This window comes from Homo sapiens, chromosome 3 (assembly GCF_000001405.40).
Source record: "Homo sapiens chromosome 3, GRCh38.p14 Primary Assembly".
Taxonomy (NCBI): domain Eukaryota; kingdom Metazoa; phylum Chordata; class Mammalia; order Primates; family Hominidae; genus Homo; species Homo sapiens.
In genome coordinates this window covers 35,777,684-35,803,343 of record NC_000003.12, presented here as the reverse complement: position 1 = coordinate 35,803,343, position 25,660 = coordinate 35,777,684, and the positions used below count along the sequence as shown (strand labels likewise).

Below are 25,660 nucleotides of genomic sequence, written 5' to 3'. Positions count from 1 at the left end.
CCAATATGGCATTTTTCTTTTCCTTTCACAAATGTAGAATGTAAAATCGCAGAAGGTTAAGGAGCTTGCACAAATTCCACAGCGAGTGTTTGAGTGTGTGTATGTGGTGGTGGTGGGGGATGGTATTCAAATTCAGGACTTCTTACATAAGTTAAAGGATGCTTTTTATATCCCGTGTTGTAGGTATAGCAATATGGCAGTGTGGAGGAATCCACATCATATCCTTGTTATGTATGCGTCCCCAAGCCCAGGAATACAGACTGATGAAGAGCCACCAATTTGAAAAAAAACCATCAATTAATTTCTTGAAGAAAGTTTAAATAAAATTTAATAATATATAGATAAATACTCAACAGAATTAGACATTAAATAGACATACATGTTTGTTTGTGTGTATATATGTGTCTGTGTGTGCATATGCATGTGTATGCCAAAAATAACCCTAGGGCACTAACACAATGTAGATTTTTCACAACACTAGCTCCCTACATTCCACTTGCCTCTTTCACCAAATTCATTTAGAGCTTTACATTTTGCATAAAGAAAAATGGAATACAGACATCCTAGTCCTCTGGTACAATATGAGTCTTGCCAGCATGTAAAGGAAGCTAACCAAGCCAGGTAAATCTCCAGTGAGAAAGACATATAGGCATAGCAAGGCAATAAATCATAAAATGATCCTTCAGCAGATTCAGCTGCAAGTGTTTTTTATCTATGTTCCTTTTAACAACTCTTTTAATGGCATCTCACTGTTTCTCCCTTAGGAAGTTATTTCACTGTATAATTGGCCTTGCTTTAAGTGAAATGTTCTTAATGTCCAATTTAAATCGCTACTTTTTTCAGTCTCAGGCCATTGCTCTCTGTTACATTACTATTAAGCACCTTAACTAATTCCTTTCTCTTTCAAAAGGATGAAATTGGCTTGCACATTTCATTTGAAAATGTAGCTTTATTCTTCTGAATCAAAAATTTAAAACACTTGAAAATGACAGATGAGCATCCTGTTTTTTGAGAGAGCAGGTGATTTTCCTGTTTCTGAAATTTCCACAGATTGCAGCAGCAGCCTGTCTGTAGCGGTAGCTGTGAAGATAGCAGCTGCAGCAGGGAAGGTGCCACCAGGGCTGCATGCTCCACGGAGATTGTGGGATCACCACCTAAGCCTTCTGAGTTTGTGGGATGGGAGCCCCATCCTCCTGGGCACAGCTGCAGCCACCCAGCCACGGCTGCAAACACCGGCATCCCTGCCAGGCTGTCCCCCATGTTCCCAGTGGAGTCGTGGCTCCAAGTGAGAACTTATGGTTCTTTTACTGGGCCTGCCTGTGGCCACCCATGGACCAATTAACACAGACTTCCTCCCTTCTGAACCCCATAAAAACCCCCGGACTCAGTCAGACTCAGGTAGAGTCAGGCGGCCTGCCTACAGATAGGAGCTACCCACTCCGGGTCTCCTCTCCACTGAGGGCTGCAGACATTGGGATGATCTGCCTGTGGAAAGGAGCTACCCACTCTGAGTCTCCTGAGGGCTATACTGAGGTGCTCAATAAAGTACCTCTCCACCTTGCTCACCCTCTAGTTGTCTGCATACCTCATTCTTCCCTGACATGGGAGAAGATCTCAACACCTGCTGAATGGTGGAACTGAAAGACATGTATGTAATGCAAACAGGGCTGAAACATGCCCAACACTCCCCACCCCTGCTGCCTGTGCTTGCCACATTGCAAGTGACAAGGAGAGAAGAGCTCTGGCCTTTCAGGGAGGCCAGACTTAAGGGCTCCTTGAGCCAGGGTGTGACACCCCCTTTGGGGCTCTGTGGTTCCTGGTGTCTCCAAGCTTCCAGGCACCATTGCATTCCCCACTGCCCGCAGTGGAAGCTGCTTGTGTTACACCTGGTCAAACCACAGCCTTGCACAGAGCTGATGCCTATGCTGGTGCCTGGAGCTGCCTACCCTTCCACAGCAACTGGTGTGCCACCGTGTGCACAATGGCTGGATCCCATGCTCTCTCATTCACACACCCCTTGCCACTCCACACCCTTGGCAGTGTGGCATCTGGGCTGGTAGCATGAGCCAAGTGCAGCCTGACAGGCTGAGTGGGCAGAATAAGCCCAGCAGGCCCAAGCAAAACTTGGGCAAAGGTGGCAACAGCCACAGAAACTTCCAGCTGGAGGAGCTACACTGTAGGGATCCCATGACACCACTAGCTTAGAAATAATTAATGGGACTGAGGCAAGTGACCAAGAATGCACTATGTACATAGAGTTTCTCTAAGTGACCCTCTAATGGAAAGGCAAACACACTGATATTTCTTCAAAAAATGTGAACCTTGTACTAGTTGAGGTTCACTAACCTTTTACACAAAGGGGAGAGACACATTTGCAGACACAGAGATGCCTACTGACTGACTTTCTCAATAACATGGGAGAAACAACTGCAAATATCATGTTAAAAAATAGAACTGCAAGGGGGTAGAGAGTCTTATGGTAGCATCATGATAACACAAACGTTGGTGGTTTCAAACTATTAGTGCAATAAAAACCTTGGGAATACAGGGTGAGTGATATGGCCATAAGTATCACCTACATTTAACCATCAGATCTATTTTATTAGGCTATTCTGATGGAGGCTCTGGATCTTTTAGCTAGAAACATGATTCAGTGCTTCACAATAAACTTCCCTACTTTTAATTCCAGAACCTTTATACATATATGCCTTACCTTCTTCCTCCCTGGTCTCCTCCCCATCCCTAATCCCTACGTGCCCTCTCATCTATATACGCCAGACGCTAAAGGTGAGAAGCCTGGAGTATTTAAAAAGTTGAGCTCTTCCCCAGTAGGATGCTATCTAGACAAATTGGACTGGGCCTGTGGGTCATCTGCCCACACATCTTCATGAATACTTGCTGAATTTGTTCATTGACTATCCATCAAATTCAGATTGAGCCTCATTCCTACTCAGATTTATATCTCCTTCTGTTTGCTGTATCTGACCTCTTCTCTCTCCCATTCCAACACTGAGGGTAAAATGGAATAAAGCATTAAAACAAAACAAACCAAATAACAAACACAAATGTCAAAGTATTCCCTGAGCTTCTGTTGTCAGGGAGGTGTTTAATATTGTCGTAGAGGAAGCACCATCAAGCCCAGCAGAAGAATCAGTTTTCTGTTACGATATCAATAAGGTAGTGATTTTCCTCTACAGAAGAAGAGTATCAGCTGCCTCTCATTCCTACAAGGTACACATTATTGGGAAAAGCAGAAGACCCATCTCAACGAGTGAAAGCTCTTGCCGCTGATGACACAAAACAGTGGCAAATATTTCTGTGGAAAAGATTGGAGGTTGCAAAACCCCGCTGAAATCAGGCGATAAAGATTTGAACTTGAAACAAAAACTAAAGCAGAAAACTAGAAAATAATGCTAAAACTCTAAAGAGAACAACCTTTCTTAGTAAAAGGTGGACAGAATAACATGGGAAGAAGCAAAGATTTCTAATCTTGTGTGGAAGAAGTGGCATCCAGAAGAGTCCAGAAAAAAAGATTCTGAGCCATAATGAAAAAGTACTGTCACCATTTTTTTATACAAGGGGGAATAGGGAGCTGATATTAGATTTCACTGCATATTGTGCATTGATACTGAATATATTGTGATGGAGACGTGGCAGCCCTTCCAATGCTGCTTCCAATTCCAGCTTAGTCTCTATTTGTTTTTCCCTGACAGATTATAGTGACTATGCCTTGTGATGCAGCTTAAGACAGGGCACTTATGTGCCCTGATGCAGAAGGTCGTGTCCAAGAGGGAAAAGTGAGACATATATCTCTAAAGTATTGCTGTGCATCCAACCATCCAACAGAACTGCTCAGTGGCTCAGTGTTAAGAGTCTGGAGCTAGAAATCATTTTTGAATTTTCCCAACAATGCTAATGGTAGCTGTAGCTCAGTGGCAAATTTTAATTATTGTTGCATTCGTCTCCACTTTCTGAAAGAAGAGGACTTTCAAGTGTAACCTATCCTACTTTTTGAGACCTATACTTCTTTATAAACCATGCTGAGGTCATATCATCTTGTAATAAAAAGTCTGCAGGAGTCGGTGGGTGCCTGTTAACTCTGTGCCTGGCGTTTAAGGTCGTGCCAATCAGGCCCATTATGAATTTCCCTGTACGCCTCCTCTTTTTGTTCTAGCTGTCCACTTCCTACTCTAAGCAACCTAAATTATACTGCATACTTTCCCATGTTTCTTTCTTTTCCATGCAGGCATTTATCTTGGTTGGGGTTATAACCCACCCATCCTATCTCTGTGTGTTCAAATTTCATCTACCCAATAGAATCCACGACAAAAGCTTCATAAAACCACAGCCAGAAGCCATCGTTTCTTTCTCTAAGATATTTTTACAACATTTTTCACATGAGACCTATAGTTAATTTCCTATATTTTTATTTATTTATATACTTATATAATGTATTTCAAAAATTCATAAGCTTCTTAAGGGTAGGAGCTCCATAGACTGTGGCTCGAGGTCTTGAAATTAGTAAGTGTGAAATAAAAACTTGCTGAATAAATGAATGCGTAATCACTCTCGTTCTCTTTTACAATCACATAAAGGTGTAAGAGATCAGTAGAGACAAGTATATCTATATGACTATAACCATAATTGAAGATATAAATATAGATATCAAGCCCTTCAACATTAAGAATTAAATAAAGATCCAGAAAGTCTGGCACTATGGCACGACCTTCCAGATTCACATATTCACAGAAGAAATAGTTCAATAGTTCACACTACAGCAGTTACCAAAATATGCCACCGTTGGAAGTAGGGTTGCGATATTACATTTTGATACAGAACACTGTTTCTATGGAATTAAAAGAGATCTATTTGTGCTCTTGTTTTGGGATTCTCTAACACAATTAAAAAAAACAAATGGTTCTTGCAATATTAGTCTTTTGATATATTCTGTGAACAAAAGATACTGTGTTCAAATATGTTGGAGAAACTATGCAAATTATGCCTTCTTCTTAAAAATTTATAATATAAAGTGATAAATTAAAGGTTTCCAAAAATTTGGTAGCTTTTGGAAAGATTGTTTAACCTTGTTTTACCTTGTTTCTCAATTATGATTGTCCTTGCAACAGTCTGTTTCATATAACTATACATATTCCAAGGAAACAGTCTTCCATGGAATTTTTAAAAATTTCTTCATTTAATATTTATATAAAATGCTTACATTTATATATAAGATATTACTTGACTTCAAAACCCAAAAGATCTGTTTTAATAACACCTTGAGGGTTAAGTATTTCTAATGCTTTATTTTTTATTTATAAATGATCAAGGTGCTGTGATGTGAGTGCCAAGGCACAGGTAAGAGGTAGGCCTGCAGCTTTGTCCACTGTTTGTACCTGTATATATGTGATAGGGTTTGGTTGTGTCCCCACCCAAATCTCACCTCTAATTGTAATCCCCATGTGTTGGGGGAACAACTGGTGGGAGGTGATTGGATCATGGATTTGGTTTTCCCCATGCTGTTCTCATGATAGTGAGTGAGTTCTCATGAAATCTGACAGTTTAAAAGTGTGTGACAGTTCCCCCTCGCTCGCTCTCTCCTGTCACCATGTGAGACATGCCTTGCTTTCTCTTCACCTTCTGCCATGATTGTAAGTTTCCTGAGGCCTACCCAGCCATGAAGAACTATGAGTCAATTAAACCTGTTTTCTGTATAAATTACCCAATCTCTGATAGTTCTTTATAGCAGTGTAAGAATGGACTAATACAATGTGGAACACAAGTAATAGGAGAATGGGAGTATGAAAGTGTCCCCTTGCACTTTAGCTGTTAGCAAAAGTGGAAGCAGAGTCTAAATATGCATTTATTAAATCTCAAAATCCATTTCTGCTGCAGCATTTTTTTCCTTGATTGTATTTGCTTCATTCTTCAATTCTCTCTTGAAAAACTGCTCTGGTTCATAGATACTGCACTTGTTTTTTATGATGATTTACAATTCTGTTCTAAGTCTTCCAAATATTTTTATTATAAACTACATAATCACATTTCCATAAAGTTGTATAACACACTTTGCTGCCTCACCTCATACCCTGTAGAACTATATTAAATCAATAACATGATTATGGCTTAAATGTGTTGGTGTTCTTGTTACAACATTTAGTTACAACTATCAAACAATAACAAAATGTATGATAACATTTACAAGATAAATTTAAGTGCTTTAAATTTATATGTACTCTTGTTTTGAGTGGTGCCACATAATTGGAATATAATCCAGTATGCAATAAAATTTTGCTGAAAAAAATGAATGCATAAGTCATTCTTATTCTCTTTTACATTCATATAGGGTTACAGAGAATTATTAGGAATAAGTATAGCAATATATCAATATATTTATATATCTATATGTTTTCCTATATCTTGATATGTTTATAAACTGAATAATCTGTACTTACAAAATGTGATTGTGATAAGATTAGTAACTAAAATGAGAAATTAAGGGTTCTCCTGATAATAAGTTTTGGAAATGCTTCACTAATAAAACCATCTTTCTACACAGCCATCCCCAAAATTCTAATGCAACAAAACAGTAAGCATAATCTAAGATTTGGAATACCATGATGCTGATGCTATGGTTTGGATGTGTTTTGTCCCCACAAAAACTCATGTTAAAATTTGATCCTCGGCTGGGCATGGTGGCTCACGCCTGTAATCCCAGCACTTTGGGTGGCTGAGGCGGGCGGATCACCTGAGGTCGGGAGTTCGAGATCAGCCTGACCTACATGGAGAAACCCTGTCTCTACTAAAAATACAAAAAAATTAGCCAGGCATGGTGTTGCTTGCCTGTAATTCCAGCTACGCAGTAGGCTAAGGCAGGAGAATTTGCTTGAACTCAGGAGGCAGAGGTTGTGGTGATCTGAAATCATGCCATTGCACTCCAGCCACTGCACTCTTGTTCCAACAAGAGTGAAACTCCGTCTCAAAAAAAAAAAAAAAAAATTGATCCCCAATGTATCAGGGTTGGGAGATGGGGCCTAATGAAAGAAGTCTGGGTCACTGGGGCAGATCCCTCATAAACAGGTTAATGCCCTCCTGTGGGGTTGAGTGAGTTCTCACTCTTGTTGGTTTCTCTTTCTTGCTTCCTTCCTCACCATGTAATCTCTTTGCACATAGCTGCTCTCCTGCTTTATGCCACGAGTTGAAGCAGCTTGAGGCTCTCACCAGATGCAGCTGCCCAATCTTGGACTTTCCAGCCATCAGCACCTTGAGCCAAATAAACTTTGTTTCTTTGTAAATTACCCAGCTTCAGGTATTCTGTTATAGCTACAAAAATGGACTAAGACAGATGTATAGGAGTATTTTGTGAAAGTAGGAAAGAAGGTTTGGCCTGCAACAATATCCAAATGGATTTATACAATAAATATCAAATGTCTAAACATGAGATACTGCTACATCTTTGGAGAAAAGTGGTCAAATGAAATTTCTTTAGGTGTAAAGCCCTGTCTTTACCACTAACATACCATATATTTCAAATCCATAGAAAAGAAGCCTCAGTAATTCTAAAGATCTTGAAAGAAAATGTCAAAAGTTTGCAAAATTTTATGGAAAAAATAAATATTCAGGCTCATATTTGGATTCTTAAATTTAGGATAACTGCCAACATCAGAAAGCTAAATGGAGAATATTTGCCAATCCCATATTTCCATTAGGGGAAGGTATTAATTAAGCAAACACAGTGCTTTTTTCAGAGTAGCTAATGGCTCGATAAGAAAAAAATGCAACATCCTTTTGTTACAACACTTTTCATGGTCAGAGTAGACCACGGAAATACTAGTAGACTGAAATCTGAAAAAAATGGAACAGACTTCATAAGGAATAAAGCCAATTAGAGTATATGTAAGAGTTCCCTTTCAAAGGAAAAAGAAAACAATAGTATAGAATGAAGTAATGGTAATCTGCTAGATAGAGTTTTTAACCGGCTGCTTAACTCTACCCACAGCTGAACAACATAAAAACAGCAAATCTAACATAGAATGTGATAATATGAAAAACAATAGAAATTATCCAGATATACTCCCTATATTCCTCTCATTGGTAATCATGGTTTTTAGATAGAAAATATAAAATACAAAACTATTAGTCATTGTACTGTGATATTAAAGTGAAAACACAGGGGTTTTATTTCCCCATTAATATCTTCCAGGAGGGCCAAACCTCAGAGTTCACAGCTCTGTTATTTCTCAGAGAGACATTAGGTAGACATGGGCTTCATCTAAATGGAATTGCCAATGTTCTAGATCTTTGCAATTAAATCATTGCTATATTTACTTTGTTTTAAATTACTGGGACAAACATTAGCACTTTTGAATTACTGACTCACTGTCAATACTAGTGGCACTTTCCATTCTATGACCCAATAAAACAGGCAGGATTAGACCATGCCTCTTCTGATTTTCCTCTAAACAAAGTTACCTTGTTTTCAGGTACATAATGAAACTCACATGAAGGTAGAACAGGGTTTGGTATATGGCTGCTGTTAATGATGACATGCAGGTTTTCCTAGTTGGTGAAGTATAACTACATACTTTTAATAGTCCTATAATTAATAGGAAGGTATATATTTTAAAACTGCAAACTCCATGAATGAATCAAATGGATGCCATCTTATTTTCAGGACCCTTTAGTATTATGACAATAAACTACAGTTCGTTAAGTCTTTGCTACGGCATATTCCCATGTGATGGCAGTTTACTTATAAATGCCTGAAATACCTTTTCCATGTGGTATTCATGAAATAGTGTTTGAAGGGAATACAGTGACACATAAGAAAACACACATTGGAAGACATAGTGAACCAAACTGGTGGTAAAAACATGACCTTCCTCCATAAGGTCAAATAGTTTTATTTTGATTAAACACTACAATACAGTATATATCCATTAAAAAAGAAAACTCTATAATGTATATAAATTATTCCTTCAATTCATCAATTCTTCTTTGCTTTTCCATTACAGCTTTGGTACAATGTGATTTAGTATATAATTTTTAAATACTTTTAGCATCACAAACTCAACACAAAGTACAAAACTAATCCAAATTAGGGATATTATAATCTACACAGTGGTATTCAGTGGTAGGAGAAAATCTTACCTTGATGAATTCATGTCACTAGCTAAGCTATAAAGGCATACCTAGCAGACATGACAGAAATATGCACCATTAACCAGCTAACGTGTATATTAGTCTTTGTTTATTTTTTACAGAATACCAGCAGCAATCATTTGAGTGTTGAGTGAATACTTAAGTCCTCAGCCAGTTTTCCCACCTTGTTCCTCTTCCATCAAAGGCCATGAGAAATATCTGAAGAAATGTACCACAGCCAGAGCTCTCAGAATTTGACCTGCCAACCAGCATTGCTCATACTTGCACAGTTTGTTCTGCAGCTAGCTGACATCACTGGGACAGTGCTGGAGGGGCAGTGTGGGCCAATCAGCCTAAGGTTGTTCTGAGGGGTGGGCGGTGTGACATTACAGTAAACAGGCATTCCAGTGGCTGGGAGTGACCCTTGACCTGCCTGGTTAGGTAGCATGATTGGCTGTTGGTATGACTGCTGGGGCAGTCCTTGAGAACCCTGGGTCATTGGCACCTGTAAAAAGACACAAGCAAGAACCCTGTATGAAGAGACTATTTTGGTCTGTACAATAAACAACATGGTGTCATGAAAAATATTCAAACTTTTGAGTTAGACCTAACAGGTCATCAATTCCAGCTCTGCCATTTATCGGCTGTTTCACATTAGGAAAGTCACTTAACCTCTCTAATTCCCTAGTCCATTGCGATAATGACATACATGCTTCAAAGTACCATTGAAAGGATTGAAGGGATGGTGTACAGTGCCTGGCACACTGCCTGGAATGCAGTAGATGCTGAGAAGGTGTTAGTTCTGAGTTTCCTTCCCTTCTCTCTCAATGACCTCTAGAAACTATAGTCTAGATCTTCCACTCTGGGTTTCTCTCAGTTTGAAAAGCCATGTTCCCTTTCTGATTTTATGCAAAGTGGCCTGGAGTCCTCCACAGTGAAAAGGGCTTTTGTCCTGGGCACCTACTATATTCTCAACCTGCAACTTTAGAGAACACTTATTGTGGAGGTGGAGGTAGAAGTTGATGCAATGTGAATCAGAATAGTAGGGTAGGGGCCCTAGAATAGGTCCTTTAGGGTCAGAAGCACCTGGTACAGTTAAATTTAATTATTATACCATTTCACTAACTCTTTATTTCTACTTCTGGGGTATTTTAGAATATACATCACAAAAGGATACATAACACTTTTAAAATACTTAACTTGGGTTTAGTCCAGAGAATGTAGTTGCTAGGCTCCAGAAATGCCCTTTAAATGAATCTGAGATGCCATATTAAAATCTCTTATAACTTAAAGTTATGGAAAAATGAAGTTTATTTGGGTGTGTACAAAAATGAATGGGAATTTGTCATGAGGACTTTCTACCAATAAGCAAAATGCAATAAAATTTCCAAAGGTCTTTATGAATAAAACTGTAGACTAATGTATTTTCTTCCATGAATATGAAGTTATATGGAAATAAACTTAGGAGAGCATTCAAAAGCCACAGTAGTGACAGAAGCATGTATTTTGCATTTTCTACTTTTCTATTATAATCTTGATTCAAAGTAAATTATCAACAGTTATGGACCAAGCACGCATTACCCAGCCAGCCACCCAAACCAGGGACAGACCCACAGCTTCCACTTTGGCAAATTCTACTTTAAAACCCACAATTTTCCAAGCTGCTTATGAGCACCTGATAAGAAGACATTGTTGGGTAGGAAACCATCACGCTTTGCACCGGAGTTCCTTGTTGGTTATTTATCACGTTCTGACTCTGAGGTGGCTGCTGCACTCCTATTAGGCCTTGGAATCCCTGTTGACCAGACAAGACTGGCTGGTAACCTGCGAAGAAAAGAGATCTTTTGAACTGGTTGTGCAGAAAGAACACAGTGATGTTTCATGGGGTAAAACTACTGGTTCAAAAGGCAGCCTTCAGACATCTCAGTCTCCACATTCAGAATGTGTTATCAGATGTTTATTCCCTAAGAATGCATTTTCTCTTTTTTTTACTTCTAAGAGTGAACAAGATTATGGCTTTAAAAATTCACTGACATTTCTATTGTTATGCAGAATGGTCTATTGAATACATGTGACAATGATAAATTATTCATGGCACAAAAACAGAAGACTCTATTGATACCAATTGACTACTATAAATTACACCTTTCATATTTGGCTTTTTCTTTGGTTTTGAGGATATTTGGAGAATTCACAGATTATCAAGTTATTTTAAAATTAAATTGACTCATTCCCTGACTATCCTCTTCTCCTGGACAATCTCATTTCACACATAGAGACCACCAAACAGCCCATTAACTTTGGATAAATTCTATTTTTTTATGTCCTAGTGAACCAAATGACTTGCTACCCTGAGGAATTCACGATAACCACTGCCTTAGACAAAAAGGCAACAGCAAGTGGGACGCATGTGATGCTTTTCTTCTGTTTCACCACTAGCTTCTGAGAGAATTTTTTGGTAAAATACTCCAATATGTGACCAAGTATTAATACATATAATAGATAATAAAGAATACAATATTCAAAAATTTATCTGTTCATGTCTTTCTGGGTGGGTCAGTTTGTTAGCCTTCATTTGTCTTTTTTTATTTTTTTAGGTAGGCCAGAATTGATTTATTCTAGTTATTTAAATCCTCACTTCAATGAGTGGTTTAAAATGCATCCTTATAAAGGAAGCCTGTCGATTGTTCTTATAAATGTTGGGAAGAAAGTTATGATTTAGGTGAAAATGACACAGTGGTAGAGAAATGAAAGACATTCATTTTATGCTGTATAATAAGCTCCTTCCAGAGCTCATATTATTAACCATGTAGAGCACCTAAGAGTAAGTGGAACTGCTATCTTAATACAATTCTCTGAGAGAAAAGAATCTTTAAAATCCTAGATTTTCTTAACACAAATATGAACTAACTTTCACAATCGGATTTTAAAAATTGAAACCAAAAGTTAAAAACTAGCTAATCAACATGCATCATTCATAAGTAATCTATATATTGAGTGCCTCTGAGAGTCTTTATATTAAAGAAGGACCACATTATATTATAGTCTTTATAAAAGAAAATACTTAACTATCCTTGGATATACAAAATGTATCTTCATTCATTTCAGAAATATTATGAAAATTTGGCTTGCAAATAGTCACTGAATTAGGAGATTGGCTCAGTTCATCAAATGAGATAGAAGCAAGGTGTCCTCAGTTTGGAGAATTGGAGAGCAAGCTTGGGAAAAGGCCAATTTGAGAGGTCTGCCCTATGCCTACAATTGGCAAGTGGAACCAGTGTGTAATCTAAAAAGCTACCCTTTGACCTTCCTTATGTGTCCCATTGTTTTACATTCTTATTACCCTAAATTATCTTCATAGTGGTTTCAATTTACTGAATTATTTTAAATTATTGTAAAGACACCACATATTACGAATATAATTAAGGGTAATAACCACATTTCCTTGAGCTACATTCTGTCCACAGCAGACAGTCAGAACCTTCCTTTAATATGCTTGGCAGGTCTATTTAAGAATAACAAGATCAGCTCAGAGTTCTGCATACCTACAGTGTTTGAAGTTTATACAATAAGGAAAAACCATCAGACCTGGGAACAAGAAATGTGATTAATCCCATATTACCATTTTCACTACTTCTACTTCTCTGTTCTCATTTGCAGAGAGACTTGAGAGAAAATTATTTTCACATTAATTGCAGAAAATTGTTTCCGATTGTTTTTCATTGTCTAGGTCTCCCATTGTGATTCATACATCCAATTGCCCTGAAAAATTCTGTGGCTATTTTACCATTTTATTATGACATTGTTCCAAACCACACCAAGCTCTTTGTAGCATGAATTATTATATACATAAGAAAATAACTTGGGATGATCATAGAAAACTTATAACCAACAGATTTCCTTCTGATTTAGTTCTACAGCAAAGAGCAGGCAATGTACACTCATTCTCAAGTCCATATAATTGTGAATATAATAAGGCCTTACTTCTGGCTGAAGATTGAAAGCACAAGTTGAAAATGAGAGGAGTGCCATTTAGTACTTTGGATTATATTTGTTTATACACTGAAAGGCCAATTGGCCTCAATGGATCTTCACAGAATATATACAGTTACAATGTAAACAAACAACAACAAAAAAGATGGAGAGGAAAGGAGGGAAGGAAAAGAGGGAAGTGGGGGAAAGAGAAGCGGGTTGCTTAGCGTCTGAAGATTATTTACGTATTTCCTTATTGAATCCTTCCATCCTTTCACAGAGGCATTTGTTTGAAAATAAATTAGGTGGCCTATAAGAGATTCACTTAACACACCATCTTCTAAACCAAAATTGGGTGAAGGGAAAATAATAGAGCTGTTAAGACATTCAGAAAGCAGAATGTCTTGGTTGGAAGAAGAAGCAATCCTTAATATTAAATAATATTTAAGAAGAGAAAAAGAGTGGGCAGGTTGGGTGGCCCCATCCTAGTAAAGGTGCAGAGCCTGTGAGAGCAGAATTCGTCTTTGCTGCCAGCCCAGATGCAGCTGCCCTGCCACAGCATCTCCTTCTCCAGGCCTCCTCTGCCTAATGATTTGTGAACTTTAATATTCAGTTATGCATAGCAATGGGCTACGAGCTTTACACTGGGGTTCCCATGGTAAACACACTTAAGGCAAATACAGATTTATGTGGGGAGTGAATACTCTACCATTTCAAAATGAAAACTTTAGTGTAAGGAGAGCCCAATTTATATTCATGAATCCCATTCATTTCTCAATTCTCTCTCCAGGCAAGAAATTTACACCTGCAATGGTTTAATTGGGGCTACTCATTTCTTTAAATTATGTCACAGAAGGTAGAGCAGAATGGTCTTTAAGACAGGCAGCTGTCTGGATGTGAATCTGAGTTCTGGTCCAGAAATAGACAAACAGAAATAAAATAGCAGTGACCTATGAATGAACCGACAGTGCCTGCCTGGGACACAACACACCCGAAGGCAGAGATGGCAGCACTGGTGAGAACTGCTTATCTTGTCTATTCAAATGAGAAATGTGTTCCAGTTTGTCAATTCTTAGCTGTGAAATTATCACTTTTTCATATTTATTGAGGATTAGCAAGATATAATGCATCTTGCAAAACTGAAGCAGCAACAGTATCTGCCCTGTAGGCTTGCTACAGAGATGATAAAGACATTAGCTATTTTTATTATTTCTTTTTCAGTCAAGATCGATTCAATTTTCAAGTCACATGTGTCATTTATTTTCTGGAGGTAAAAAGGTTAGGAATGGACAAATGCCTCCTAGCAAATAAAAGAACGCACTTGGCAAAGATCGAGGAGTTTATAAGATTTAAAATGTCTGCATTGTATCAATCTGAAAATGGAATAGGTTTTCTACTAAAATACAACAGTTGCATACTATTTGTAGTTTGAGGGCATTTGGTTAATATTCAGTCAAGAAAACATTTATCTTCATGTAGCACAATTATGAACAATTAGAATGTAAATTGATTAGGGATTGTAGATTGGCATGGTTGTGACTGATATTATTTTAACTCTTATTTGAGTAGTTTGTTACAGTTTCAATATTTTGGAAATGAATGAAATGACAGACAAAATAGTAATCTCTATTTCTGCATTTCTAGTATGCCTGCTGTTAATTATGGAGGTTGAAACAGGGAAGGCGGTATACTGAAGACAGCAAATTTCTATACCAAGCACATTTCTTCAGAAGCTGGCCAATTCTCACAGCCTCTCCCAGTCCACCCAAGCAGTGTGATATACATGTGTCTATTAAGGGAAGTAATCTTAATATGGTAGAATGTCTTTTCAAATGATTAGAGTTAGCAAGCTGCTTCATATAAAAATTACTTCTCTTGAAGACAAGATACGAATATTTCTCCAAATTTCAAAGGAACCAGCAAGAGCCCTGATTCTGAATCAAACTCTGCTCTTTGTACACGGTGTGAGGTAGAATTACAGTAGCTTAGCTTAATAGTATAGCTGGTGAAGAATATGAAGAAGAAAATTGCTTATCCAGAAAAGCCCTGTCTTTAGCTGCAGTTTTACAATTTTTGCATTTTGCCACTTTACAGTATCTGCCTGGTTCTGTTTTCTTGGCTCCCTGTCAATTCTTCTGTACTTTATCTTCTTTGAGGATTTTCCATTATAAACTAGCTATATTTGTTGATCACTTACTCTAAGCCAAACAGTGAATTAAGCTCTTGTTATGACAATCTTAGGAGGCAGTCAATATTACTAAACTCCATTTGCAGAAGAGAAAACTGTGACTTAGGAGGATATAGTAACTTGTCAAGGTCACAGAGCTATTACGAGGAATTGTAGCTAAAATTTAAATTGTGGTTTTCTGACTTTGGCATCCTTGCTTTTCTGTGCTAAATTGTAGTACCATTTATTTATACATTCTTCTAGTTCTCATAGCCCTCACATCATCCCTTTTATGTGGCAAGTATTCAATGACTGCTTATTATGTTAATTGTTTTCTCAATATTTAAAACAATTAAGTAAAAAAGATAAGAATTATGCTCCACAGTTTGCTGAACAAGACTTTATTAATATCAAATAAAGAAAAACAAGAGAAATTAAATGTAAAACATGACTGCCTATCAGAATCAACTCATATCACTCATTAACAGTTTGAAGACATGTTACTTAGAGAGCGAAACACCAGGAAGACAGTTGAGGGGTGAGGTATGGGTGAGGCTATTCAAACAGACTCTTGTCCCTTCATTTACTTCATTTCTAATCAGTGATACTATAGCTTTTAATTACTAGGACCATTTCAAATAATGGCTTTCCTCACAATCTTTGAAGAGACTATATTTATTCTGGTTTGTTTTCTCGAAATAATCTTAAAATCTTGAAATGTGCAAATAGCTTAATTCTGCTTAAATATAAGATCAATTCAATGATTTGACTGTTCCAGGCTACTGGCTGCCTCTGGGAAAGTAACTTGGCCTTTAGAAACAAGAATAGCATTTATATTATTTGAAAGATAAAATTAGGTTATAAAAAAAGAAGATACACAGGGACTCTGCCAAACAACCTGGGACATCAGATGAAGGCCTGGAGAAATAAAGACCTCTCAGGCCACTTCTAATTTTGGAATTCATAGACTACTGTCAGTCTGCTTTCTAATTCTGTGAACACTATGGATTTTTTTCCTGTCTCACTTCATTACTGGGGCACATCACCTTTAAGACAGAAATATTTTCTAGCTTCATCTATTGATAGCACTGTGGTGTTCACAGTAGCCTTAGGTGGAGAAAACAGACACACAGCTTGATATTTTAGTATCACTATGGTTTGGTGAAAGAGGAGTCACTGCCTTATGCCTCAGAGAGGTGAATTTTGGGGTCATGGATGTTCCTGCCTCCAACTTCTCCCTCACGTAAAGCAGAAGACAGCCTCCACAGTTTCACTCACAATGAAGCCTATCAGAACCAGGGGTCCTCGGGCACAAGGAAGGCATCGATTTTACTGGCCTTTATAGCCTCTATCTTACTCTAATTCAACTCCCAGGAGATAAATCCAAGGAATGACAATGTAAACGTGGTTTGACAAACCACTTGGTTTGTCAAAGTTTGTTAACTTTGATAAACAAGGTGTGACTCTTTCTTTTGCCTATATGCCAACCTCCCAATTTATGTAATCTAAAACCCTAAGTAGAACTTTTTTTTTTTTTTTTGAGATGAAATCTCACTCCGTCGTCAGGCTGGAGTGCAGTGGTGCAATCTCAGTTCACTGCAACCCCTGCCTCCTGGGTTCAAATGATTCTCCTCCTCCTGCCTCAGCCTCCTAAGTAGCTGGGAAAACAGGCACGCACCACCACACCCAGCTAATTTTTGTATTTTTAGTAGAGATGGAGTTTCACCATGTTGGCCAGGATGGTCTCGATCTCTTGACCTCATGATCTGCCTGTCTTGGCCTCCCAAAGTGCCGGGATTACAGGCGTGAACCACCACGCCCGGCCAAGTAAAACCTTTAAAACAAGAAAGCAGTATAGACTAGACTGGAGACATTATTTTTAAACATGTTTACAAATTAAGATACGGTTAAAATATATATACTTGAAATCATAATTAGGTACTGTTCTGTTCTTATATATGAAGTAAAATAGCATAACGTGGAAAGAGGATGTACCAGAAATTGCTTTTTTCCCTTTAACTTTCTTTTTTGCTGTTGAAGTTCATTACGACTTCTTTCATCTTTGACGTAAATGTCTTTTTTTAACTTATTTATTGGCAGTTGCTGTATCCATCCTCTTTCTTTTCCTCACCATTTATTACTCGCTGGTTTTAATTCCTTAGGAACTTGGTACAGGATGACCTGCAGGGAGTGTGCATGGGCATGGGGGTAATATAGTAGTCATCCTAGTAATGGCCTGTCTATCCAAATGAATTTGAGGGGAGCTGTGACAGGCCCTACCTAAGTGGAACCATGCTTCCTGAAGCAGTAGTTTTTCTTCGTACTTCCTCTTTTGCTCATTAGCTTTCATACTACACAGAATGTAATTCTTAAAAGCCTCTTTACTGTCCCCTGAGAACATTCATGCATGGGTCATTTTCTAATGGCAGTACACATCAGATGAACCATCCTATTACTGCAGGCTCAGGGGCCTCTTCACTGCAATTATACTATCCTGATCCATGTTATCACAAATACAAAGCTGGTTTTCTTTCTTTCTTTCTTTCTTTCTTTCTTTAAATCAGGGCAAACATGAGACACATTGTTAAATGACTAGAGGAATGGATCATGCACGGAATTTCAATGAATGCCTCCAAGGGAAGCCAGCATTGAATTCCATTTTAAATGGAAGAGGCTGTCATATTATTGAAGTAATTCTCTGAACTTTCCTGGCCCATAGTGCTGTGCTGACATCCAGAGAGCTTCAACAACCCAGAGGGAGAAAGACCGCATGAAAGACTCACAAACGTTTTACTTTCTTAATGAGGTTGCATGGCTTAGAAGAAAATGTGGCATTCTTGCACCTCTACCCGTCGTGTTAATTATGGATATACTTAAAACCAGGCTGGGAGGCAGCAAACTACTGCTGAGGCAACTTTAAGAAGCTTTTTCCCCAGACCAAGCTTGGGGCAAAGTCAAAATGGAGGTGGCTCTAATAACTGTCCCCATGATAATATTCCTCCTGGTGGATATTTTCATTGATGAAGTGCTGTTGGCCAGCTGACTACAGCAAGATAATTATGAAGTCAAAAGTCATGGGGTCAGCATTATTGTGATCAAATTACTGTCACTGTTGCATGGCTACAGGATGTAACCTAGCCTTGGCCAATTATCTTGAAATAAGTACTATGGCCACAGATTCAGTCTGTAGAAATCCACCTGTCACTGCAACTGAAAAAAAAAAAGAAATTATTTCATAAGCAACTGATGATAAATTAAAAGTGCCCTCTTTATATAATAAAGCATTATACATTATTATTCCCAAGGAGTCAACGATAACTAACTTCTTCGATTCCAGACTGGCAGGACTCTTGCTCAAAGATTGTTCTAGTGGTAGGTTTAACAATAATATTGTTCTGGTGGTACCATCTACTGGGAGGCAACAGTAGTTTTCTAGGGCAAAGACAACGAAGACAGGAACTAAGGCAAGGTGGTATAGGAATGGAAAGAAGAGGCACAGAGAGTTATTTAGGATATGAACTTTCAGAACATGAGTCTATGATTTCTGGTGCTATCACATGGTTGATGGACATAGCATGAATTAACTGACTGCACTGTAATCATGAATATCAGTAGTCTGCTGGAAAACTGTCTCTCTGAAAAACAAAAGCGCTGATTTGTGGTGTTTGCTGATTTCCCTAGTGTAAATATTCCCACCATGCCTACTTTCAAGCCTCAAAGGGCTTAACAACTAGCTGGCAAGATTCCTGGTTTTTAAACATTTGGCTCTTGTGAGCCAGCATGAGATAGCTCTGGCATGCTAATGACCTAATATTCAATGTCAAGCAATCATATTTTCAGTTCATGTACATTTTTGTTGCTTTGATTCTTTTTTCCACAATGTTATTGACTATTTCTTCTTGCCACTTGGTATAAAAATGACCATAAAAGCCATTTACAGAGCTTACACAAATGGTGGAGACAGGCCATAAACAGAATCTTGCAGTACACTTGGATAGGCACCTGTCTCCAACTCTAGAATCACTGAAGAAAGAGTACTTACTTCTATTGTGTGTAGGGATATGAGAAGCATGCAGTGGAAAGCTTCCAGGAGGTCATATTGAACCTAGTATTAGATGAGCAGATATTTGCTAATGGGGTAGGGCAATGTGGAAATAATCAGAATAAAAGAGGCATAAACATAAGGATCAGCATGTGCAAAGGGCAAAGATACAAAAAAATGCATTCGAGAATTGTAAATATACAGGCATAGCAATAGGTTAGAAACAGGCAGAGGAAGTAGAGGATAGAAATGGAGCTAGGCTCAAATCCTAGAGTCTTGAAAAGCGTGCTATAAAACTGGAATTTAATGCTGAAAGACTTAAGGTGCAATATAAGGTTTATAAGCAGAGCAATGAAATGATCAACAGCCATTTCATAAAACTTCTCCATGAGACAATGTGGGGTTGTATAACTGGAAGTAGAAAGTCTACTGGAAAGCAAAAGCAATAATCCAGGGCAGAGATGATGAAGACATGAAGTTAAGAAAAGGGTGGCAGCAACAGAGAAAAGAGACACATCAGAGAGAGAGATAGATGTAGGATGTGAACTGTCAGAAACTGGCATCTATGAGCGGCAAGGAGGGGGTGAAAGAAATTAAAAAAAAAACACAAGAATAAATTCCAGGTTCAAGTTTGGGTAAGGAAGTGGAATGCAGTGCCTTAGCTATAAATACAGAAAGAACAAGTATATAGAGATGATCGGTAAACACATGAGCAAAAAGTCTGGGGTTTGGGGCTCAGACAAACAGCCTGTCTTAAAGGCATAAATTTGGAAGTTATCAGGACATAGTTGCTCTAAAGACAATATATTTATGAGTGGGTACCAATTGAGAAGACTATCAAAATGGAGTTGTAAGGCACAATCATATTCAAATACTGGGCTGAGAAAATAAAACCTGGATGGGGAATGAGGAGTAGTAGGAAAATGAGAAGAACCAGAAGAGAATGGTATCAAGTAAGAAGTAGGGGAGTGTTTCAAGAAAGAAAAATGTGACAATGACCACAGTTGCAGAACTGCCAAGGAAGAAAAGACAGCAGACCCTAGGTTAAAAAAACAAACAAACCGGTGACCTCAATAAAAGCAAGGCTAGTGATGGGTACATCAGCCAGACAGGAAGAAAAAGAATTCCTTTGAGAAGCTTGAGAAGCCTGGCAGTGAAGCACCATGCTGGGCAGAGAAAGGAGCAGAGAGCCAGAGGGAGGCATAGGGTTGATGGGATTTTATAGTTTTGTTTTTCTTGCTGTTTTAACATGGTATAAATGTAAGAATTAGTATATTTTAAAAGGAGAGATTAAAATAATGAAAAACCTGGGAAAGAGTAAGAAAATCTATAAACCTGTCATAATTCATAGCACATTCAACATCAACGGTTGCATACAACCAAGAAGGCTGGGATTTGGGTGACAGAGAGTTTAACTTTCCCTCTGAATCATCTAGTAGCTCTCCATGTCACCTACTACTACTATTTACTTTATTTGATCCAGCAGCAAAGTGTCCTGGGGTTTTTCCTCTTGAGGATACAAGACAGGTCAGAGAGCTTATTAGGAGTTACAACCAAATGCTGTCACATCATTCTGGGAAGACAACAGAAGCTACCCAAGATAACTTCTGAGAAGAACCTGAAGGAAATATGTGCTTATTTATTTTATGAACATGATTAGTGTTGTTTGATCCACATGGAATTGCAATAACCCAGGGAAGACTTGGTTAAAGATCAAGGAGAAGTCCATGGTCCCACAAACTCTCCACTGCAAACTAAATTAATTGACAGGATCGGTTGATAGGAATAACATGCTCTATATTATTTACTAAAATGGACAATCAACTGAAATTTCCATGAAGAAACTGAAACAGGCTTCAGTAAGATATTTTTTTGCCATACCATGGATACATATTTGAGCATATGTACGTACAAAATGCTAAGTGCTAATGTTTTCAGGATCAAGTTTCCTCTGATTTTTCCTTAAGGTTCAGTTAGCTACAATCAGTTAGATTTAAATTTCAGAATGCCATAAAAAATACAAGGTCCACTTGTTTACATTTCATTACAGCTCAACAGCAATTGATTAGTTCTAGGTTATCTAATGTATAGCTCATTGAAAACAACAACAACACAACTAAGTTTGATATAAATTTATGTATTTTACCTGTAACCAATGTTTTCCAAGGAGAATTTGGGACTAAACATTTTTAAAGTTTTCATTATAGTTAGAGTTGGGGAACATGACCTCTGATTCTCCATTATTTTGTAATTTCATCAATATTACAGCAATGATTTACCCAAAGTAAAGATAGTGGACACCAGATGATGTCACAACCCCAAGCAATAGCCAAGAGATACTTTCTTTTCATGTACATAATCAACTAGATCATGATTTTCCTTGGTAACAGCAAGAAGAAATATCTTTAATCTCACCTTATGAGGAACTGTTATTTAAAAGGGTTGTATTGTCTGGCTTGAGACAACAATAAGAAGTCTGCAGACTTGTCCACACAAATACAAATGTGCTTATCTTTTCAGCTGGCTGGAACTGGAGGCTATGGTCAACACTTAAATCAGATTTTATAATAATTAAAGTGAAAATAAAACTAAAGGACAAATGCCTGTCCTGAAGACTCTTTCAATCATCCCTTTGGGGCAGGCTGTTTCCATCTTGACTAGAAGTTTCATTCTTTTAATGGCTTGCTCCAGGCTAAGAAGAGAAATGATTCAAATCATTCACTCGTTAACTTTTCCCTTCAACTCAAGGCATTCAAAGGCAATACTTGCATTTCATCATGATTAAAAGTGCTTTATAAGCATCCAAATGAAGCCATGAGTATTTTTAAGTGGTCATAAACCTCTTTTCTTGAAGTTCCCTTGAGGCTGCAGAGGAGCTCCCTCACAAGGGACAACCAGCTATCTAAATTCTCAGGCAGAGGGATCCCTGTCTTCAGAGTAATGACATAGCAGGACCACGTGGTCTAAGAAAGCTGGGAACAGTCCTCACATTTTATCCTCAGCAGGACACCAGGCTACTCACTGAGGGGTGCTATAGTAGGCCCATTCACACCCAGCCAGGTCTGCAGGCTGCCATCTCAGAGCTTTGGATTATCACTGCTTGCCACTCAACCCAGCCTCACCATCTCGCCTCTGTCTCTGATTGCCTGCTTCCCCATCCAGCTGAAATACGTTGTTCCTGGGTCAATGATTCTCAACTTTAGCCTGCCTCCAGATAACCTCTGGGGCCCTATTAAAATACGAATTGCTAAGCCTTAATGCCCAGACGCTTAGATTCTGATTGAGCAGGTTTCGGTTGCGGCTCAAACATATGCATTTCTGACAGGTTCCCAGGTGATGCTGATGCTTCTTGTCTGGGTACCACACTTCGAGAATCTCTGTTGGGCCTTGGCTTTCAAACACATTACCTTGAATTCCTATTGTTTAGCCCACTCATTATTTTTTTTCCCTCACAGAGTAAGTAGTGGGATCTGGCAAATTACACTGCGGGGGAGGCCATCTCTACTCTCTTAGTTCATTGTTCTTATCTGTAAAATGGGCACAATATTTTCATCAAAAGGTGTCAGGATAGGCTAATATCTCTCTTGTAGGACATACACCAGTGGTTCAGCCTCTGGCAATAACCAATATATGCAACTGCCCATTCCTCATTCTTTGCACTCCCCACTTTTATGACTTTGAATTGCATTTTATTACTTATTTAGCTCCTGCTTCTTAGGTAGATTGCAATCCTCTAGGAAAAGAAGCATATCTTAAACATGTTTGCTTAGCCCTGTATTTCACATGCAGTGCCTCAAGAACATTCATTGATGATGCTGATAAAGAAACTGTCCTATTCCAGCCACTCCATAAGTATCTTGCAATGGCACATAGGTAGAAAAAAAGCTAGCAAATAAAAACTTGAAGAAAATGATGAAGAGGCAACGTATACAGAACACAGAGTCCAAAGCCTTGCCAGTGCAGAGGGGGAATGATTTATCATTATCACAATAGTGTAAAAAAATCTGGACAGACAGTAACTACTTTCTCTTATCCCCTTTGCCTCTGGGCAAGGGGATGTGAAAGAGGTTCCTTCTAACAGCACAGTTTTTAAATTCTACTTCTTGATTTTGGCATGGGGCAATGACAGGTCCAGAAAGGGAAAGGAGGAGGGAATATGGAAAGGGACTAAAAGGAGGAGTGAGAAAAGGGAGGGAAAAAGGCATCTGAAACAGATTCTGTTTGGCATTCTCAAACTTGGCAAGGCATTTGGAAAACAAGATGAGATTCTTATAGCCTGATGTTTTTTAGGTTGTAAATGTGAGTTTGCTCCTTTATGAATATGCTTTAACAGTTTACCTAAAAGAAAAGCAAACAAGAGACTGGATCTCACCTACTCCTCCTTGAGGTGGTATTACTTGCTTTTCTAACCACCACCTGCCCCCCACTTTTTTTTTTTGACCCTCACTAAGCCTACATTCATTTATCTTGAGTATGCACAATGGATGTGGTGATATCCTGGCACAAGAAACTCTGGGTGCTGCAGCTGAGGTTTAGAGGAGTAAGACAGCTTCTTGTTCAGGATCACACACAGAATTTCTCATAAATCAGGGACAAAATCCCAGTTTTTGGTAACTAACTTCCCCAACATACATGCCACGGTGCTTCCTCCAAATGTGGCAGACTAGACTGCAATAAATATTTTTGCTTCCTGAATGCTCACACTGAGGAATTGTGTTCTGTTTTGTTGGTAATAGTCCACAAGTACTTCATAATTGGGAGAAAAAGCCATTTTCTTCCCCCAATTGTGCCACTTCTGCTGCTATTGTGTCATTACTAGGAACCCGGAGAATACATCTTTTATATGTGAAGTGGACTTACCTAATTTGCCCCCAGTATCTACCAACAAACTTTTCTAAGATAACACAGAGTAAGCCATTAGGGAGAAAGAAAATATAAGTTTTGGAGGTTCAAGAAATGTATGAGTTGTAAAAAATGGAATCAAACCATCTCTTTTAAAACTATCAGCTCATTTCTATCATTCTATCCCAAAGTTTAGAAATACATATTAGTAGTTAATTACCAATAGACAAAATTTCAAGGAGGCCATATAGTGGATTACACTTACACTAACTCAAACAGGAAAGCAAGCAGTCTCCTTTCTTTATTCAAACTAATAGTAACAATTCCTGGTGCACCTTATTGTACTCACGGGGCTCAGTGCTTTGTGAAGTGGGTATCATTATTATTCTCACTTTATAGAAGATAAAAGTGAAGCTCGAGGAATTGTGTAGATCGTTTCAGACCATACAGTTTAGTAGTGCCAGAATTAGGACACAGGTATTTTAGTGACTTTTCCCCCATCTCCTCAGAGTCCTGTCAAGCAATGGAATTCCACTGAAATGATTCAATTGAAGAGGTTTTAACAAAGGGAGTAGGTAAGTTGAGGGATCAACAAGTGAGGAAGACACCAGAGCATAATAACAGTAGGGAACTGTTTTCTCCCCTTGTCTGTAGGTCTTAGGGGAGAAACCAGTGTTAGGAGCAGTTAGCAAGAGCTGAGAGGAGGGGCTGCCTGCCAGAACCAGCTGCATCCCAAGGTGAAAAGGGAACGGTGAGGACTGCTCGCTGGCTCTCCCTCTGCCTGCTCTCTCTCCCTCTGCCCTTTGATCTCTTGCAGCTGATGCCTTCCATTAGCAAAACCCAGGTGGAAACCAGGGGGCAAAGGAACCTGACAGATGCAGCTCATGGGGTCAGGAGAGATGGATAGAGAATGGCTATGTGTTGGGAGGAAACACAGAGAATAACCAGCACTCCCCTTCCCTTCAAAGATTACAGAAATATGTTTCCATGTCAGGGACCATTTCCCAAACTACTGAGGCAATCTATTTAACTGAAGATTTTTTAAAAGAGATGAACAACGCTTTTAGTGGAATACTGTCTCTTGGTTTTAGAGACTTTTTTCCCCTCAGAAATTACCCTTTTTAACACCTGGTAATATGTCAGATGATGCACTTAGCATGACTGCTTCAGCAATTAAAGTAAATGTTAACTCTCAAATTTATATGTCATTAGATATTAGGGTAGAGTGTTTGACTCATAGTCCTAATGCTTGCCTTTCCATTTGGATGAAATGGCAACGTTTGTAGGGAATTGATAATAACTTAGGAAGTATTATTAAGCAATGTTACTGTTTAAATATCTTGTAGAGCAAAAAAAAAGTTAAATTATGATTCATCTCAAGCAGTACTACTCATTTTGTTGAATTTGACATTTTCCTTCTCTGGCTGCAGAACCAGATGGCTGAGATCAAATAGATAACAATGGGTGAAGACTATTTCAGGGAAATGAAAAAGAAAAAA

The 25,660-nt window shown here is 38.4% G+C and overlaps 1 protein-coding gene across 74 annotated transcripts in view; it reads right to left on the bottom strand.

Moving 5' to 3' along the window:
* The window catches only part of ARPP21 (cAMP regulated phosphoprotein 21), a 155,634-nt gene continuing 138,831 nt past the window's right edge, over nt 8,858-25,660 (bottom strand). For all 74 annotated transcript variants that reach the window (NR_170705.1, NR_169632.1, NR_169633.1 and 71 more), the window contains 2 exons: nt 10,814-10,962; nt 8,858-9,643 (listed from right to left, as the gene is read on the bottom strand). Coding sequence is in view for 64 of the 74 variants with exons in the window: in NM_001385489.1 (NP_001372418.1) it covers nt 9,386-9,643; nt 10,814-10,962 (407 nt within the window). In the remaining 10 variants the exon portion in view is untranslated. The remainder of the gene's footprint in view (nt 9,644-10,813; nt 10,963-25,660) is intronic.